Source organism: Homo sapiens, chromosome 13 (assembly GCF_000001405.40).
Source record: "Homo sapiens chromosome 13, GRCh38.p14 Primary Assembly".
In the NCBI taxonomy this organism is placed as follows: domain Eukaryota; kingdom Metazoa; phylum Chordata; class Mammalia; order Primates; family Hominidae; genus Homo; species Homo sapiens.
In genome coordinates this window covers 98,514,224-98,532,473 of record NC_000013.11, presented here as the reverse complement: position 1 = coordinate 98,532,473, position 18,250 = coordinate 98,514,224, and the positions used below count along the sequence as shown (strand labels likewise).

At 47.7% G+C, this 18,250-nt stretch overlaps 1 protein-coding gene across 3 annotated transcripts in view, besides 6 other annotated features; it reads left to right on the top strand.

Moving 5' to 3' along the window:
* Window positions 1-18,250, top strand: part of STK24 (serine/threonine kinase 24) — a 131,923-nt gene that overhangs the window by 44,634 nt on the left and 69,039 nt on the right. For 2 of the 3 annotated variants that reach the window (NM_001286649.2, NM_001032296.4), the window contains exon 2: window positions 13,001-13,231. In NM_001286649.2, the coding sequence (NP_001273578.1) occupies window positions 13,001-13,231 (231 nt within the window). Of the gene's footprint in view, window positions 1-10,348; window positions 10,700-13,000; window positions 13,232-18,250 lie in introns of those variants that run through there. The other variant, NM_003576.5, reaches the window with a different exon arrangement.
* Window positions 3,419-3,588: an enhancer, noted in NCBI's record as "active region_7917". NCBI's record gives its function as "activates an Ori minimal core promoter by ATAC-STARR-seq in GM12878 lymphoblastoid cells {active_cell/tissue: GM12878}" and the evidence as "EXISTENCE:reporter gene assay evidence [ECO:0000049][PMID:35858748]".
* Window positions 6,129-6,448: an enhancer, noted in NCBI's record as "active region_7916". NCBI's record gives its function as "activates an Ori minimal core promoter by ATAC-STARR-seq in GM12878 lymphoblastoid cells {active_cell/tissue: GM12878}" and the evidence as "EXISTENCE:reporter gene assay evidence [ECO:0000049][PMID:35858748]".
* Window positions 7,596-7,645: an enhancer, noted in NCBI's record as "active region_7915". NCBI's record gives its function as "activates an Ori minimal core promoter by ATAC-STARR-seq in GM12878 lymphoblastoid cells {active_cell/tissue: GM12878}" and the evidence as "EXISTENCE:reporter gene assay evidence [ECO:0000049][PMID:35858748]".
* Window positions 8,036-8,115: an enhancer, noted in NCBI's record as "active region_7914". NCBI's record gives its function as "activates an Ori minimal core promoter by ATAC-STARR-seq in GM12878 lymphoblastoid cells {active_cell/tissue: GM12878}" and the evidence as "EXISTENCE:reporter gene assay evidence [ECO:0000049][PMID:35858748]".
* Window positions 11,646-12,147: an enhancer, noted in NCBI's record as "H3K4me1 hESC enhancer chr13:99172581-99173082 (GRCh37/hg19 assembly coordinates)". NCBI's record gives its function as "activates a minimal SCP1, AML or CMV promoter by ChIP-STARR-seq in naive H9 embryonic stem cells {active_cell/tissue: H9 hESC(naive)}" and the evidence as "EXISTENCE:reporter gene assay evidence [ECO:0000049][PMID:30033119]".
* Window positions 14,865-14,924: an enhancer, noted in NCBI's record as "active region_7913". NCBI's record gives its function as "activates an Ori minimal core promoter by ATAC-STARR-seq in GM12878 lymphoblastoid cells {active_cell/tissue: GM12878}" and the evidence as "EXISTENCE:reporter gene assay evidence [ECO:0000049][PMID:35858748]".

Here is an 18,250-nt window from a genome sequence, read left to right as displayed (position 1 = left end):
GGGTGTGTGGTGGGTGTGGGATGGGATGTGTGTGGGATGGGTGTGTGGTGGGTGTGGGATGGGTCTTTGGTGGATGTGGGATGGGCATGCACCATCAATTACTAGTCACTGAAGTCATCTGGCAAGGTGGTGGGGAGGGGTTGCCCTCTCCTTCTCTCATGGAGAAGAGAGGTGGGAGAGGTAAAAGATGAAAAAGGTGAGGTGCCGGGAGGTGCCTCCTCCCCTGCACTGATGTGATTTTTTCCCAGGTGTAGAAAGGTGAGTGTGACCCAGGATAAAAAGAGTTTTCCAGGCATCACTACTGGCATTGTGACTTCTGCAGAGCCTGGGGCAATCTCCTAGACTAGACCGGTGGTCCTCAACCTTGGCCGCGTGTGAGAGTTTCTGGTTAGCTTAACTAAGCTGATGGGGGGTGGGGCCCTTCCCCAAAGATTCTGGTTTAATCGGTCCAGGCTGAAGCTGGGACATCGAGCTGTTTAGGGAGCTACCCACATGCAGCCCAGGTTGAGAATCCCTAGCCACATGCAGCAGGGAGGGTCGGCCCTGGGAGGGTGCTGACCTCAGGATCACAGAGCAAATAGTTCCCACGAGCGTCTTTCTCCTGATGCACTGTCCTGCGTCTATGCAGTTCCAGCTCACCTCTAACAGAGCAGAGGCCATTGTGGGGACGATAGGCATCGTTGGGTAGTTAGTGATGTCTAGCCAAAAACCCATTAATACCATCTGCACCTTCAAAGGGTGAAGGTCGAGTGAGGGGGAGAACAGGGATTCAAATTTGTTCCTTGGCTTCAAGAGGAGCCCTGATGTCCTGAGTCAGCACTGGTATGAAGGCTAGTCCTGACCTTAAACTTCTTATTAAGTCAAAATCAGGAGCTTGATGTTTCTCCGGTTCTGTTCATATCAAAAGGTGTCTAGGGTTGGCTGGTGTGTGGAGCCCCAGGATCTGACTGGGGGAGTCCCTAAGGTGTGATGCTGTCCTGATAGTGGAAATGCCCTGGGCGCTTCCCAGGGCAATGGAGGAGGCCAGGGATATGCAGTCCCAGATTGGGTTTCGACCATGACAGGTTTTTGATGACAACTTCTGGCGGGAAAACTGCCCACAAAAGAGCACTTGGTTTTTATTTGGTCTTTTTCATTTGGTTTATAAACTTTCCATTGGCCTTTTCTGTACATATCCCTGCATGTGTAGATATTTTATAAAAAGGACAGCTTGATTTTCAGATTTTGGGAGGGCGTATTGGAAAGACTGATAAAGAGTGAGCTTTAAACTTATTAGAATGAAAGAAGACCTTTATGGATGAATAGGCTTGCTTTAGACAAATTGTTCACTATTCCTTCCAGCACAGAATGCCTCTTCACATTTAATGGCCAGTTTAATTAGATGACATGGCTTTCCAGGGTATTTTATTTGTTTGCAGTCAGCTTTAGGATTTCTTACTTAGGGGAAGAATAATCTGTATTAAAAAATAGGAGATTGGCCTAAAGTTCAGCCATACTAAAAATCTACTCTCATTTTTACTCTTTGGAGACCCTGTCGCATTGTGTTGTACCTCGTATATTCTCAGTTAAGAGTTATGGCCAGCGAGTTAGTGATTTCCAAAAATGTCTCCAAAATTGAGTGCTGTTTTAAAGATGGCTTCCCATGTTCTTCAGTGTGCTTGCTGAAGATTCTATGCCAACTCTGGTGAAGGTGGTGGCAGTTCACCACGTTGCCGGCAGGTTTGATCCCGGAACAGACCTGTGAGCTCATTGTCCATTTGACTGAGAAGCTAAGAACTTGCTGGAGGTCTTGCAGCAGCGCACCACAGCTTTTCATTCCAGGGCTTTGGGTTCTTCTTTTGTGCCCTTGTGTTGTATGTTGCTGTCAGAGCTCCGGAGACAGTGATGGACCTGCTCAGTGTTTGGAGTCGGATGGCCATAGGTTCCTGTTCAGGCTCTGTGCCTGAAGACAAGTCACATAATCGTCAGAAAATGGAGCTCGTGCCTCCTCCGTAGAGGGCACCCGGGCATGACAGTAGCTTTGCTTATGGTGTCATTCTGCCCAGACCACATCCAAGACCATATCCAAGAGAAGAGTGTCATTACCTCTGACTGCAGCTGTCACCTAATCTGTGACACTGAGAAGGCCAGGAGCTCTGGCAATCTAGTTCCTTTATGGGGGTAAAAACGGAGCTGCCTTAAGTATTCCAGGTGTTTTACAAGACATTCTCTTAGATTCAATTAAGTTTCTCCTCAGAAATTGTTAGGAGTTCTCTTTACACAAACTTTCTGGAAGTATTTGTGTGTGTTTCTGTCTGGGGGCCACAGACAGAAACTGTCATGTCTGGTCCTCTTGACAGCTCTGTGTGTGTGTGTGCGTGTGTGTGTGTATATCTGTGTGTGTTTGCACCCACATACAGGGCCAGTGCCTTTTGCCTTCTTTCTTTGCCGTCATTTTTCCTGCAATTGGCCTTTTGTCTAACATCGGCTTCCTTCTCCAGCAGTGCCAGTGGAGTAGAGCCTTCTTTCCTGGGCCCTGCAGGTAGACCCTTTCTATTTTAAGAGGTTTAATGGTTACCTTTATAAGGCAATTTTAAAGGTCCGTGGATTTCTGCAAATTCTGGTAGCCATGATCTTGCCTCTGTAGTTCCCAGCATCATTTCTTAGACCTAGGAGCCTTTTAAGTTGGGTAGAGTCATTGCATTTGATGGCTGAATGCTCGTTCTGGAAGCCTCGTGTTAGGACCCCAACCACACCCATCCCTGGACCTACAGGGGCCTCTGGACCCCCCTGTTTGGTGGTTTGTTTGTCTTTTCCTCACCCCAGCCTCAGCAACCAAGGATCTATTCTCCACCAGTCAAATTTTGTCACCTTGAGAATTTTCTATAAAGGGACTCATACTGTATATGACCTTTGGCGCTTGTAGACAGTATTAAGAAGTTGGATGACAAGAGGGTAAGTGAGGGGATTAGAAAGGAGCTTTGGGGTTTAGATTCACAAGCTGAGTGTGACCTCAGTGTGAAGGGCAGTGGGTCGTCCCCAGTTGTTTTAAGCAGTGAAGGAAACCGTGAGCTTTTAGGAAGATCAACTCTGACAGCAGGTCACAGGCAGGTCTTGAAGTGGATCAGTTGGAGGCTGCTGCTGTGGGGGAGGGAGGGCCAGGCAGTGACCTGGAAGGGGCTGGATGGAGAGACGCTTCGGAAGAACCATGACGCGGTTTGCATGTTGGGGTGAGAGAGGAATGGGGGTGCAGAGGTTTCCAGCTTTAGAAATGGTAGGTAGCAACACTGTTAACGATGAAACACGTGGTGGGGGGCCTGGGGAGAGGGAGACGGCGGGTATGGAAGGGTGAGCTGGAATGGTAGCCACCAGCATGGGTCTGTGGGTGGTAGCGCCAGACAGGCCAACAGGTAGGTTTCCACCTGCGTGCCCAGTTGGCCAAATCGGTGGTGACTGGCTGGGGTGAGTAGATTCTGAGGCTCGGTTCAGCTCTAGGAGAGTGTTTGTGATTCATTAGAGATGCTTGCCAAGGCCAGAGTGGTGAGAGTCCGTGCCTGCAGCCAACTCCCCTTCCCTGCTCCAGGCTCAGCTTCCTTCCAGCATCCTCCCGCCCGCTCCAGTAGGGATAGTGGTGTGAGAAGTACCGGGTATTAGAGCACGTCACCCTCAGTTTCTTTTTGTTTTCATGGAAAAGCGTAGAGAAGCTTGGTTTCAACCAGAGTAGTTGAGTGTGGTTTGACTGTGCAAGTGGTACATTTGGAGCTGAGTAACACTGAAAGTTGATTGGTAATGCCACATGCATTTTTCATTGCCAGAAATGATCAAAAGAAGATGATGACAGCTATTCAGGTTTAAAAATATAAAATACTTCAGTCATCATAGAACAATTTTAAAGAATTCTTTCAAGGGATTATGGAATATAATAAAGTGTTGTGTTGTATTGTGGAATGGCCCTGCTTCTGAGCTGCAGAAGGGCAGAGCTTCGGAATTGTCTTTGTAACTCTTGGGTGGGTAATAGGATACTTCGCACTTGGGTTTTCTCCTCAAAGGAGCCGGAACCCTGGAGGCCTGGCTGGAGTTGCTGGTTTTGCCCCCCACCTAGACTGGGCTGAGGGGACCATGTTTTGTGAGATGAGAGGGAGCAGGAAAACACCCACCTTCTGGCGTTCTCATTGAGCGCAGAATCAGTCTGTAAATCAGAAGATACCTCCATCTGTCTTTCTCATTCATTTAGGTTTTCGCCTTGCAAGGTAGGTGTGGTCATGACATTGGCCAGGCAAACCCCCAGGTCATGGCCGTTCTGTGTAGTCTGTGAAGGGAGCCCGAGACTGATGGGCCCGGGTCTGTCCTGGACCTCCCGCCCTGGGCCAACCTGCATATCCTCATGAATGAGAGTCCGGTGGCCCAGTGGGAACCCAGGGGTCAGCCTGATGGAGACGGCTCTCTCCAGCTTTGCGGAGGCCTGATTATTAGCCTAGGGAGCTGTGGCTGAGGAGACCATCGCCCCCAGAGCTCTCCTTTTGCTTTCTGCCGTTGAGTCAGGCCCAGAGAGGTACAGGAGCTGGCGGGGCTGCAAGACGCCAGCATGAACTGGGGCTGCAGTCACAGCAGGGGACATTTGTTCCAATAAAGCAGGTGATGACTGTCCCTCCCCTTGTTTTGGGATTTTCGACGGTGTGCCTCTGAACCCCTCTGGTCTCCCGTGGCCGCTGGCTCTGCGTCTGTGGCTGGGTGGTGCTGGTGAGGCAGTGCTGGGCCCCCCACCTCCCTTGTGGCTCACCCGGTCCTGGTCCCGTGTCCTCTGCATCCAGGAGCCTCCCCGCTCAGGTTTGCCTGCGGGGCCTGTGTGCCCTCCCCAGTCGTTCAAGGCACAGGGGCACATGGAGGTGGGTTCAGAGAAGAGTGGGGAAGGGGGTGCCGGTGGCCCGTGGGAGAGTTGCCCAGGTGTGGGCACAGCCTCTGTGTCAGGGCTCCCTCGGATGCTCTTGACTCTGATCTGGCCTTTGAGGTCTTAACTTTCGTCCTCACTGGTGGCCCGCGGAGCATGATTCCCGGCACCTTGCCCCTTTGCAGGCCACATGTTCCCACCGCTCTAATTGGGGTGGGGTCTTGGCCACTGGAATCAGATGTCATCTCCATCTCTGGGCTTTTTAGATGAAGTGGAGGGAGAAGGGCAGACTTTTTTTTGGTATAGCTGAGGTCTCACTTTGTTGCCTAGGCTGGTCCCAAACTCCTTATCTCAAGTGATCTGTGGGCCTCCCAAGGTGCTGGGATTACAGGTGTGAGCCACCACGCCCAGCTCTGCTGTGTGCACACATACATGGGCCCTCTGATTTTTCAGTTATTCTCAGTGGCTGGCCATTCCCTGTGAAGAGTGATAGGCCCACATCTACACAAAATGGAAATAAACTCCAAAAGGATGCCGATGAGAATTACAAAACAAATTTCTACTTCCGAGTGTGTATCGATATATGTCACTGCCTCTTCTCAGGGAATCTGACACATACACAGAGTGACCATATGGGCGTGTTATCCTCACATGGGGTCGGTATCAGCAGGCCGATTTCCACCTGGCAAGCGTCTCATGAAAACGCGCCTGTGGACAGTGGTCCTGCATATCTGAATAACGTGTTCTACACCCGCACTACTGGGATGGGCCATGAAGCTGATGAGCAAATTCCAGGAAGCCATTTGTGGTCCTTTCCAATCACGTTTCCCAAGTCTTGGCCAGGAGCTGACAAGCGGTCACTCACTCACTCCTCCCCACAGCAGAAATGCACAACCCAAGTTTCTTGAAAAACAGAATAAAATTTAAAAAGAAGTAAAGGCTACCTAATTAAGCAGCAGAAGACAGTTAAATAAACTTGAATGCAGCCATGTAATGGAATATTTGCTTTTTTGTTTCTAATGACATGGTCCCAAGCCTAGTACAGTGAGGAGACAGGAGCTTGCTGGCTAGGTTCAAACCCCTCCACCGCCCTCTGCCAGCTCTGGGACCAAGGGCAAGATACTCAATATCTCTTCTGCTCAGTTTGCTCATCTGTAAAATGAGGTAGACAGAAGTACTTTCCTCTTAGCTTTGTCATGAGAATGTGCTGAGACAGTTCATGTAAAGCTCCTGACCCAGAGCCTGGAACAAGTACACCCTCAATAAATCCACTCCTATTAGGCTGGCTACACGCTGTGTGCACTGCAGGGGGAAAATGCCTGAGTCATATTGGGACACTGAGACAACAATTTTGCATCCACGAAAAAAATTATACATACAGCTTGACAAAGGACAAAGCATCTGTTCACAGAAAGAAGACTGAGAGAAAACAGGACAAAAATTGTTTAAAAACCAGAAAAAGCAAAGACGGACCTGTTTCGAAAGCCCCTTTCACCCCAGCATACTGCCAATGCTCCTCCCTCCACCGCACTCCAGCCACCATCCCTCACCCGCTCAGCTTTCCAGCTGACCAACCCTGACTTACCCAACCAAAGCCTGTCCTTCAGGTCGGGCGGGCGTGGTGGCTCTTAACCCCGAGGTCCCCCAGAAGGGGAAGTTGGGCTGTTAAAATTCTTGGGGGGATTTTAGGGAATTGGAAAGTTGTGAGTAGAGAAATCAGTATTCGAGTGCCTTCTATTCAGACCCTGCATGGGATGTGTCAGACACCTCCACAGGTGCTGGATCCTCACTCTCAGTTGCCCTTAATGCAGAGATAGATACTATTATTTATCATTGTCTTTTTATCCCTGAACCCTTTCCTCAGAGGAGCAAGCCCCAGGGCTCATCAGTGTGAGGCGGCTTGTGGGGCTCGAGGCTCGGTGAGCTCGGGAAGGGGAAGTCACTCCCTTGTGCTTCCCTTGGTCATAGAGAAGCCGATCCTCCTGCCTATACCGGGGTGGCGAGCCCGGCTCCACTGTAGGGACAAGGCATCTAATTGATATTTTTGAGTGCTGAGTCCAGGGCCTGGGGAGGGGGTGCTGTGTGCAGGCTGCTCCCATCCCCGCCCCCATCCCCTAGTCTTCTTGCCCTAGGGGAGGTGACTTTGGAGGGGAATGTTGGGGAGCGGGGGTTGTCCATGTGTCCTGACCTCCCACTGCTTCAGAAAAGGCGGAGCCCTTGGGCGTCCTGATTCTCCTGCCTTGCCCTGGCTTAGGCTTTGCTTCCTTTCAGGCACGGGCTGTGGGGTTGAGGGGCCCCAGGCCTTTCCAATCTGAGGCCATAGCCGGTGCTTAGTTCAGCCCAAACCCTTCTAAAAAGGAAATTATCAAGAAGGCTGGCAGAATTGTGCCTTTTTTGCCAAGGAAATCTACTTTCCTCGGTGAGCAAATTCTGGCAGCAGAATCTCAAGGTTCTTATTTGAAAGAGGGCCTCTTTGGCATTGATTTTTCTTCTGGCCATGGGGGACACAGTATGGTAATGAACCCGTGCAAGAATTGCCAAAGGGCAGGGCTGCCCGCGCAGGGAACCCTGCTTTATTGAGTGCCCCATTGCCCCGGCCTCAGCAGATGGCTGCCTTCTTGCCAGGGGTAATTTTTAGCCTGGCCTACAGCTGCTGACACAGAGGCCAGGGGTTCTGAAAGTCGCCGTGCTTGAGCAGATTGAGACAATGCAGTGACCCTTTATTGTACAGGTGCCGTACGCCTGGAAACGTCTTTTGGGACAATAGTAAAAGAGTGAAAATTGCTGTTTTCTAAGCCGTCTTGGTCCAGGCAAAAGGAAAACAGGCAGGTTACTAAAACATTCCAGAATCTGGAACATCTGTCTACCCCTGACACCCCATAGACACTTTTCTCCCGCAGTGGTTTCTGTTGAATTCTATTATCTGTTGTTGTATAAGAAACCAAGAAACCGCTATATCACTTAGCAACCTAAAACAATAACGATTTAGCATTTCTCACCATTCCTTGGGGTGAATGGGTGGTTTTTCCACCCGCCTGGCTGAGGTGCATTCGTGTGGCTGTGGCCAGCTGGAGAGTGTCTGGGGCCTGGGTTCAGCAGAGGCAGCGAGGAAGGCTGCGTGTCTCGCCCCAGGTCTAGCAGTTGGCTGCATGTTTATCCGGTGCCGTGCTCTCTTCCACGTGGCCTCTCCAGTGTCTAGAACAGGCCTCTCCACATGCTGCTGATGGAGGCCTTCCAGGAGGCAGAGCGAACACTGCGGGGTCCCTTGAGGCTTGACCTTGGAGAGGGTACACCAGCACAGGAACCACAGGCCAGGTGGTTCAAGGTGTGGGCTGCTCTTATGGGAGCAGCAGGCAAAGTCTCGGGGGGTGGGGGTGTAGACACAAGGGATGGGTTATTAGTGCCATTATTGTAACAATCCACAGGGTTGCCTTCCGGTCCCCAGGGTTCATGCCCCTCACACATGCAAGAGATGCTCTTCCATCCAGCATCTCCTCACTTCCCTCCTGGCACAGCGTCTGACTCAAGGGTCTGCGTGCCCTGCCTGCTTTGGGGCTGGGTGTGGACGGGCTGCCAGCTCTTGATTCAGAGAGCCTCAGCTCAACAAGAATTGTGGGACAGGAAGAGTGGGGCGGCCACAGAGACTCCTCTTCAAAGAGGGCAGGGATGGAGGCATCTCACAACAGATGGGCTGCAGCAGTTCTGACCTAGAGTCAAGCATGGGCCGTCGGGGCCTCCGCTGGGGCAGTGCCCAGCTTCTAGCATCAGTTTCTGTATTAGTTGCCTATTGTTGAGTAGCAAGCCAACCAAAACCGAGTGGCCAAAACAGCAGGCTCACGATTTCTCGTGATTCTGTGGATTGAGCAGTTTTGCTGGCCTTTTCTGGGCTCTCTGCAGTCAGCTAATGGCATGGTTGAGGCCAGGTGGCCCAGGATGACTTGAGGCACATCCTGGGAGCTCAGCTGGCGTCGAGGAAGTGGGCGGATGTCATTGTCTTTCTGACCACACCATTTTCGATTGCCAGCTCTCCACTGCCTCATGGTCACGTCCCTCTGGAGGGAGCTCTGCAAGTCCTCTTGGGGCCTTGCTTAGATTATGTTCATCAGAACACAGAGCAAGACTAGCCCAGGTTCAAGGGCCAGGGCGGCAGCCACTGTCTCTTGCTGGGAGGAGTGCCCAAGTCACATTCATAGGGGTGTGGACCCAGAGAGGTGGGATTTATGGGTGGTTATTTTTGTAACAGTCTCCCACAGGGTCCTCAACAATGTGGTAAGGGTTTGGATAAATTCTTGTCGCCTGTTTTTAAAATTAAGTCTCAGAAAGGAAAGGCCACTCTTAGTATGGGAGCGGGACAGTTTACTGGAGGGGGTGATGAGTTGACCTAACATGATGGTGTTTTAGTGGCATGTTGGGGCTGCTTGGCCTCCTGTCCCAGCCTGTGCCGAGTGGTGGTTCTCCAGGTGTGGTCCCTGGACCAGCAGCATCTCCCTCACCCCGGGATTCCAATTCTTGGGCCCACCCCCGGTTGACTGAATCAGAAATTCTTCGTAGGATGGGGCTCTGTGGCCTAACAAGCCTTCCAGGGGAGTGTGAGGCTCACCCAGGTCTGAGAATCACTGCTCCCGGGAATGACAGTGCTAACCGGCTCTCCTGACCTCAGGAAGGCAGGCTGTTAGCACCCCTCTCGCCCTTGTCAGCAGGAAGGGCTTTCCCCTTCCCTCCAGGACCCCCTGTCTGTGTGTAGGATAGGCTTTGAGGTGTCTGACCTGGGTCCTGTTCGAGCCAGGGTGAGTCTGGGGTTTTCTTATTGCTCAGGGGATGTTTACTGACCACAGTCCCATGCCACTTATCATACCTGGGCACAGGGGTGTAGAGGTGCGTGAGACACAGCCCCTGACTCTTCAGCTTGCAGCTGAGCAAAGGAGACAGCGCAGAGCAGAGGGCTACTGTGGGAGGACAGTCCAGCAGGGGAAGTGGCAAATTCCGTGCACACATGTTGAGCTAGAGATGTCTGGGTAGAAAGAGAGAATGCTTGGGAAGCAGCTGGTCTGGGGGGTTCCTGTTCAGAAGGAAGGCCTGAGCTAGCGCTTTGAAAGCTGTCATGTACGTGAGTCTTTAACACAGCCTTTCCTTCAAGGTGGCAATTGATCAGAATCCATTGGGGTGTTTTAAAAACATGGATTATTCACCTCCTCTTCTGAACTCCCATATATTTCTGCAAGAATGTCAGATGTCCTAGGTGGTTCTGTTCGGGCAGGTTTGGGAAACAAGGGCCCCAGACCCTGAAACTACCGGGCACCCCTGGGGAGAAGGAGTAGAGGCCCAGGCTGGGACCTAGAGTAAGGGCCAGCCAAGGTGGAGTCTGCGTGAAGATCCTTCTGGAACTAGAGGGACTGGAAGAAGCCAGCGGGAGTGGGGCTGTGGATGCTAAAGGACTGGAAAGTTACCCAGAGGAGGGGGAGGGCGTGGTTGACAAGGCTCAGACACGACATTGCAGCACTGGTGACCGGATCCAGAGCGGAGCCAGGCTGCAGTGGTGGGGAGGACCGGGCAGGTCCAGATGACTTTGAAGGGACTCCAGAGGAAGGAGAGAGTGGAGGAGGAGGGCTTTGGGTTAGGGAGAGTGCTTTCGTTTGTTTTAAATGGGAGAAACTGGAGCATGTTGCCAAGGGCAGAGAGCCAGCAGAGAGGGGTGAATGGAAGAAGGAGCGAGAAGGGGGTTACTGACGAAGCCTTATCCTGGAGGAGAGAAGGATGGACTCCAGAGCCCAGCTTTGGGGACTGGCCTTGAATAAAAGGAGGGCCACTCTACCTCATCCTGGAGGGAGCACGGTAAGGGAGAGGGCATGAAAGCAGCGAGGATAGTAGCTGCTGAAAACGGGGTATGTTTCATTATAGCTAAAAAAGGATGCGCTGCTTCCCCCGCATCCCCGAAAGCTGCTCATCCTAGCAGCTTGTGTTAGAGGAGGTGGAGGTGCAGGTTCAAGGCCGCGTGTAGGGGGAGTCAGGTGGGAGGTACCCACCCGGGCATTCTGTGGCATTCCCAAAAGTGACTGGTGATACTCAGCCTGGGGTATTGATAAGCTTGAAAATAGGAAGAGGAGGATGTTGTAGGGCTGCTCACGAGCTCCAAAAACAGTCTTCACTTGAAAAAATTATCCTGGGCTTTGATTGTGGGTCATTGACTATCTTGGTAAACCCAGGAGTCTTGGACTGTGTTTTTTAAAACCTGTAAACACACAGCCAGGCTTCCTCCTAAGTATGACCGTCATAAGACATTTGAAATGTAGTGCCGTGACTGAAAACAATTGAGCAATTGTTCAGGAAAAAAATTAAATGCCTCTCGATTAATCACCCAATTGATATGTTTAGTGCAGTACTTTAAGTGGAAGTTGGATAGATAGGTTGATTTTTAACACAGTGGATGTTTGTGTAGCGTTTTAGGAGCCAAGGGGGATCATGGCTAAAACTGTAGTCCTTGTAATCCCTGGCCGCTCGTTAGACCTCGGATTACGCTGGCCATGACCTTCCGGTGTGGGCTGAGCACTCAGTGTCTGGCCTCTGGCCTGTCCTGCTCTCTTGGTAACCCCAGGACGCATTTCCCGTTGGGTATATGTCCACCACGCAAGCCTTGGTTCATTTTGTACTAAGATGGTTGGTGGGTTTTGTGAGCTTTTGCATTGTTTGATGTGCAGCCTCAAACAAACATGGGGCAGGGGCTCTGCGCCCCTGTGTGCAGGAGGTCACTGTGGCTATCTGCTCGTGTGTCATTGTGGCGATATGTGCGTTGTTGCCATGGTGGACACGCTGTAGCACTGTAAGGCCTGCAAACCAGAAATGGGCTGACTGGCTTTCAACAGTTCTCTTGGAGAGCAGCTGCTCGGAACTCAGTGTGTCTCACCTTGGAGAGCTGTGGCTGGGTGGCCCCTGATGGGCCCTGAGGCTCACGTCACTCATGAGGCACCGCCGTTGCTGCAGTGTTGTGTGTGTGACCCACCTCACATGCACCACTCTGGATACCCTCTTCTGTGTCATCTTTCTTCTCCTCATTCTCTTTCTTTACCTCCTTTTCAGGCCTCCCTCTCCTCCCTGTGCTTGTTCCTTTTCCTAGTAGTTCAGCTTCTTCAAAGGACTCATAGATTTGGAGGGTTGGCCTGGCGTTCTGTTCCTTCTATGGACCATTTCTGAGGGAAGATGTGTCTGCAGCAGTGGTGTCTCTTAGAGTCCTTCCTTGCTCTGTGGGGTTCCAGGCTAGTGCTTGTCACCGGGGTGCCATTGGCATTTTGAGCTGGGCAGTTATTTGTGGGGAGATATGCAGCGTCCCTGTCTTGCCTTGCTAAACATCGGGATTGCTTCTCAGTTTCCTGACAAACAGGCCCTGTGGATGACAGGTTACTGCCCCCTTTGAGAACTCAGCTGTTCACACGACTCTGTACTGTGTAGCTGTTAGGATGAGAGCTTGAGCTCTGACAGCTAGCCTTCTTAGAAATGTATACTATATATGTATGTGTAACTAATCAGGTGGTTAAGAGCTTTTAGAGGCTATTTCCAGGGTACAGCATGTATGTGACAAAACAGGCTGCTTATTGTTTTCTGGAATCTGGTTAGATTGTTATTGTTTTGGTGAAGGCAGTACTATTCATGAAGATGCATAGTTACGGTATACGTTTTTTTTTCTGTTCTGTGATATAGCTGGTTAACATTTTAGTAAAAATTCATTTGAATTCAGGAACTTTTGGGGATTGGGTATGGAGAAAAGTGAATTTTTGCTTAGACAAAAGTGATTTTTCGATAAGTCTGTGTATCCTAACATTCCAATAAGTGCTTAGATTTTAATTTACCCTCATTATACAAAAGTTGGCATTTTTTCCATGTTTTCTAATCTAGCTGGGTGATTGTTCTTATTGTACGCTTGCTGCCTTTCATAGTCTGATGCGCATGTGTAGGTGAGACCTAGGAATCTTATGTCCTGAACCTGCAGAGCTGTGGTCACCACCAGCCTGATGCTGGACACAGAAAATAGATGAGTCCCTGGAAGACAGTGTGGTCTATAACATTACACATAAAATTGACAAAGGAGTTGTGGTGCTATGAGGGACTAAAGTTTCCCTTTTCTCTTCCTTCTCTCTACAGAACCTAAAGGCAGACCCAGAAGAGCTTTTTACAAAACTAGAGAAAATTGGGAAGGGCTCCTTTGGAGAGGTGTTCAAAGGCATTGACAATCGGACTCAGAAAGTGGTTGCCATAAAGATCATTGATCTGGAAGAAGCTGAAGATGAGATAGAGGACATTCAACAAGAAATCACAGTGCTGAGTCAGTGTGACAGTCCATATGTAACCAAATATTATGGATCCTATCTGAAGGTAAGGCTTAAAATAACGTGCTTCTCCGTTCTGCAGCACTTGGCTGAGGTGCCAGCAGGGAATGGGAAGGACTCTGATAGGACAAAGCACAGCAGGTTTCAGAGCAAGGAGAGATGTTTTGACCTTCGTGATCAAAAGAACCTGGCTTTGATAGTTCCATCATCTCAAATGTCTCCTATAGAAATATTTGTGGTGAAAGTGTTTGATGTTCTAATTCTCTTTTGAATAAGGAAGAGTATTTCTGGTGGGACTTTGTCATTAAAACTGTTTCTTATTAAGTTATTATAACAGTTATTCACCTAATTTTAGGACTGCTTATGATTAGTATTAAAAACTCATACCAACTTAAGAATGTTAATCTTTTGATATTCTCACTTACCAGCTGTGGTTTAATTTAATGCTGTTAAAAACTGCTGATGAGAATTGATAATGTTGGTTAGTTAGCTAGCTTATCTACGCTTGACTTTTAAGAATGCTAGGCAAATTGGTAATTACTTAAATAAAACGGTAGTTATAATAATATGACACAAAAATTGTCCTGCACTGCCACTCTGTTCTTTAAGTGGGAAAGAATAGTATTAAAAATGTTTTTCTGATCCTGCATGGAACCATTTTACCATTTTAGACATCGTAGAACAATCCTGTTACAACACTAAGAAGGCTTATGACCGTTCTTGTGTTTCAAGTTCCTCAAAATATACCTGTTTCACTGAACTTAAAAATGTTGTAACCTTTAAAATGGGGTTTTAGAAATCATAAGAATTGGTGGGGAAAAAAACGCTCTGAAATAATTATTGTGGAATACAGAACTATGAAGAAAGAAATGATGATTTTCCAGGGGAGGCAGCGATAAACCTGGATAATTTGGGCCAGGCCTCTTCCTCCCCTGGCCTTACCCTCTAAAGTCTCTAAGTTACAACTTGTAAGCTGCTCTGATGTGAGAAGGGAGCGTGTAGGTTTTGCTTTTGTAGAAATACAGTAAGGTGTAAGTCAGAGGATGGACATTTTGAGAACCATTGATTAACTAAAATGGATATTTAAAGGAAATCAAAATTGAGCAGTGATCCCTTTTTTATCCCTTGTGTAAAGGACAGCAGTGTGTCATAGGTCAAATGTAGCATTTTGAAATGGAAAGAGTGAGTTTTGGAGTCAGGTGTCACAGGACTTGAATCTTGTCATTTACTTTGATGTGTGGCCTTGAGTGAGTTTTCATTATTTTTTATAACTTCTCCACTTTCTCATTTGCAAAATGGAAAATTATGGTATATATCATATGTTACAAAGATTAAATGGAATTAAGTATGTGAAAGTACTTGACATGTAGTAGGTACTTAATGCGTATTTTCCTTCCTTGGTAGCATTTATTCATACCTCATCTCTTAAATTACCCTGCAATGAATATGCAATGAAGGTAGTTTGCAGTTAAGGTATCCATTGAGGTCAAACCAAGGAAACCAGGGTTAAAGAATGGAGGAAGAATGCCAACAAGAAGAGCAAATGTTGCTGTGTGGTGCACCCAGTTTGGGTCTTGACACAGCAAAAACGAAAGCACTACACATGTGACTTCCGTGGGGGAATGCCAGCATCTTGATGTTAAATTTCTTTTTTTTAATGAGATGGAGTCGTGCTGTGTAACCCAGACTGGAGTGTAGTGGGGCGATCTCAGTTCACTGCCCCCTCCGCCTCCCGGGTTCAAGCGATTTTCCTGCCTCAGCCTCCTGAGTAGCTGGGATTACAGTCGCTCACCAACCACCGTGCCCGGCTAATTTTTGTATTTTTAGTAGAGATGGGGTTTCACCATGTTGTCCAGGCTGGTCTCGAACTTCTGACCTCAGGTGATCCACCTGCCTCAGCCTGCCAAAGTGCTGGGATTATAGGCATGAGCCACTGTGCCTGGCCTCGATGTTAAATTTCGATTGAAAACAAACAGCTAAAGAAACTCAGTTTGGATTCTGTCCACTGTACTGCGTACTATTCCCTGTGAAATTACTTCAGCAGTAGTGTTCTAGTAAATTCAGAGTTGGATTTCGTGTGGTTTGCTGATGTTGTATTTTAATATGAATTATTATGATGGTTTTGGCAAAGGAAGTGTGGAGGATCCTGACAAATATTTGGTGATTTATACCAGCTAATATTTAACTATGGAAATTAAGGATCAGTGGTTCAAAACATCTTGTTCAACCTCAGCTCCTTAGCACGATCTTTACTGCATGCTGGAATGGGCTGCTTTATTGTGGCCAAATATAGCGGCCACAGTACATATCTGCATGTATCTAGAGATTCCATCCAAACAGGTCCTGTTCTTGCCTGAGCTGCTAATGCTAGAACGTTAGGTTTCAGATCAGCCTAACCTTGATCTAAGGTTGCCCCGGTATTTTGTTTAGTTATTGTAACGTCAACTGCCGTAGTAAACTCCTTAAATGTGTAACGACTCATACATGTTAGAAATGTATCTCTTCCTCACTGGTTGCCCTGATCCGTGGGCTGTTTTCCTTCAGACACTGATTCAGGAACCTGAGTTCCTTTTATCTTATTGTTCCTTCATCTTGACAAGTGGCTGTGCTCAGCTGCCATAAGTCAGCGTTGGGGGAGAAATGGAGGCTCACGTGTGGGAAGTTTTTATGTGCCCAGGCCTGGACGTAGGGCACATTGTTTCTGTTCATGTTCTCCTGGTCAGAACTCAGCCACATGACCCACACCTGACCCAGGAGAGGCTAAGAAATGTCATTGAATAGTGTGCTTCGTGGGAAGAGGACACAGGCTGTGTGCACAGTAGGCTGGCCTTTTCAAAGTCACTTCATCTCTGTAGGAAGTGGAATAGCTCAGGGAGTGGTCTTCAGGTGCTGATGGCCTCCAGGCAGGTTGAAAAGTGTTGATACTTTATCCAGTGCGCTCTCTGTATTTTACTAAGCAGATTGTCCTTTAGGGAGTATCTGCCACAAGAATGCCTGGAAGAACGTGGCCATTGTGGAAAGTTGGCCCGGATTTTAAAGCCATGTGAAGGACAATTGTCTTATTTGGCTACATACATCATGAACTGCTCTTCTAAAACAATAATTAACTATTATAATTGAGCAGGAGAAGAATCCAGACCTGTAATTCTGTCTGCCCATTCTTGTGTAATGGAGTGTCATGAAATTCTTTGGCCCAGAAGGGGACCCTCCTGAGTCAGAGGCCATTCTTCCATCATCTTGGTAGGTTTAGAAAGTGTGGTCCTAATGTCAAGGAGGATACAGATTAAATGGATTTGTAAGACAAATGGGTCTTTGGCACAGAGCTGGAAATAGTGCTCTATGTGGTTTTCACTGTCATTTTAAAACACTCCCTGTAGCGTTCAGAGCTACTGTTCTTAGTTCTTTAAGGGTGATTGGAGAGAGGGCCTTAGGATTTCACCCTGTGTTAAGGGACTTTTATATAGCAGGCCAGGACAAAGAAGAGATTACCAGAAATGGGTTTCTTCATTGTTGGGGTAGCTAGCATTCACAGGTCTCATAATTATGTTTTGGTTCATTCTTTTAGTCTAGAAAAAAGGATTTAAAACAATAGAGAAGTGGTCTAAATATTCTGAATGTTACTAAGGATCTGGTGAGTGGTGTTAATTTTGACAGTAGCAGTGATGAAGTCACAAAATTGCTTTGTAGCATTTTTTTTCCCCTAAAGATTGAAAACAAGGGCTAGAATTTAGGGAGGAGAAGGAACAATACAACAGTGAATCCCCCCACCCCCCCAATATTTATGGATCTGAGGCCTGGAAAGGTCTTGAGGATGATCACAGACCATGGAAAAAACTTCACCCGTTGTAGTTTCAGTGTTTACTTTTTGGGAAATTAAACCAGCTAGGATACTTAACCAGAATCCTCCATGTCCCAGCCATTATACCCCTGGAGTTTTCTGCCACTGAGGTACCATCCACGAAGTCAAAATGAAACTGCCTGTGTGTGGGGTTGGGTAGGGGATATGGGGTAGTGTGCAGGAGGGGAGAGAGAATTTTTTGGTTTTGTATTTTAATTAGGCAGTGAAGACATATAATTGTAACGAGAACAGGATGGTGTAGTACGGGATGCTGACCTGTTTTTTCTCTGTGCACCATTTGCAAATGTGCATTCCCTTCAGCACTTACAAATCTTTTTTTTTTTTTTTTCAGGGGGTTTGTTTTGAGGAGCTTGCTATTCTATCAGAGTGTCCATATTGAGATTCACTTTTAGTTATAGCCAAGATTTTAGTCTCAGATTCTAGTACAGGTACTCAACTGGTCGCTGTTTGGGCTGCTGATTTTCTTGAGGAAACGCAGATATACTTCCATGATTACTATAAAGATGAGATCATGTATGTAAAGTGCTGGCATGTAGTAGATTTTTAGTAAATGATGATTTTCCCTTATTAAAAAAATTTTAAGTTATCTGCGCCAAACAGACTCAAAATTCACAAGTCTTAAAATAGATTGTTAGCATGCTAAAAATAAGGTTTATCATTTTCTTTTATGATAAATTATTTATTCCTCTCAAACATCAAGCCAGTTTAACCAAAGCAAATCAGGTGCGAGGTCTTAAAAGCTGTGCTTTTCAAATTTCTTCCTTGCCATAGTAGTTTTTGTTGTAGTGTCATTATTAAAGAAACATGCCCTGTTGTCTCATTGCGGATTCAGATCCCTGACTTACAAGTTTTCATCAGTTCCTAAAAACTTTTCTGAGTAGTTTGACCCATCAGATTCACCAGAAGACTAATATGGGAAAGTCCCTTGGTGAGTTTTAGAAAACTAAGTACTCTATGAAAGTACAGGTTATTCTGGGAAAGGATTGATTGTGGGTAGTTACAGGTTCATAATCTCACTTCACAGTCATCTTTCCAAGTTATATTCTTGGGACTTCTATTGTTTTTTCTGTGGTCCCCAAAGGGGAAATAGTTTCTGATGAAACAGAAAAACCAGTCATTTTATCCTTGGGGAAAAGAGTAAAAAATACTGATAGAAGTGGCCAGCGTCTCCATGAACGAGGCTGCTGTGCAGGTCAGTGTCCATCT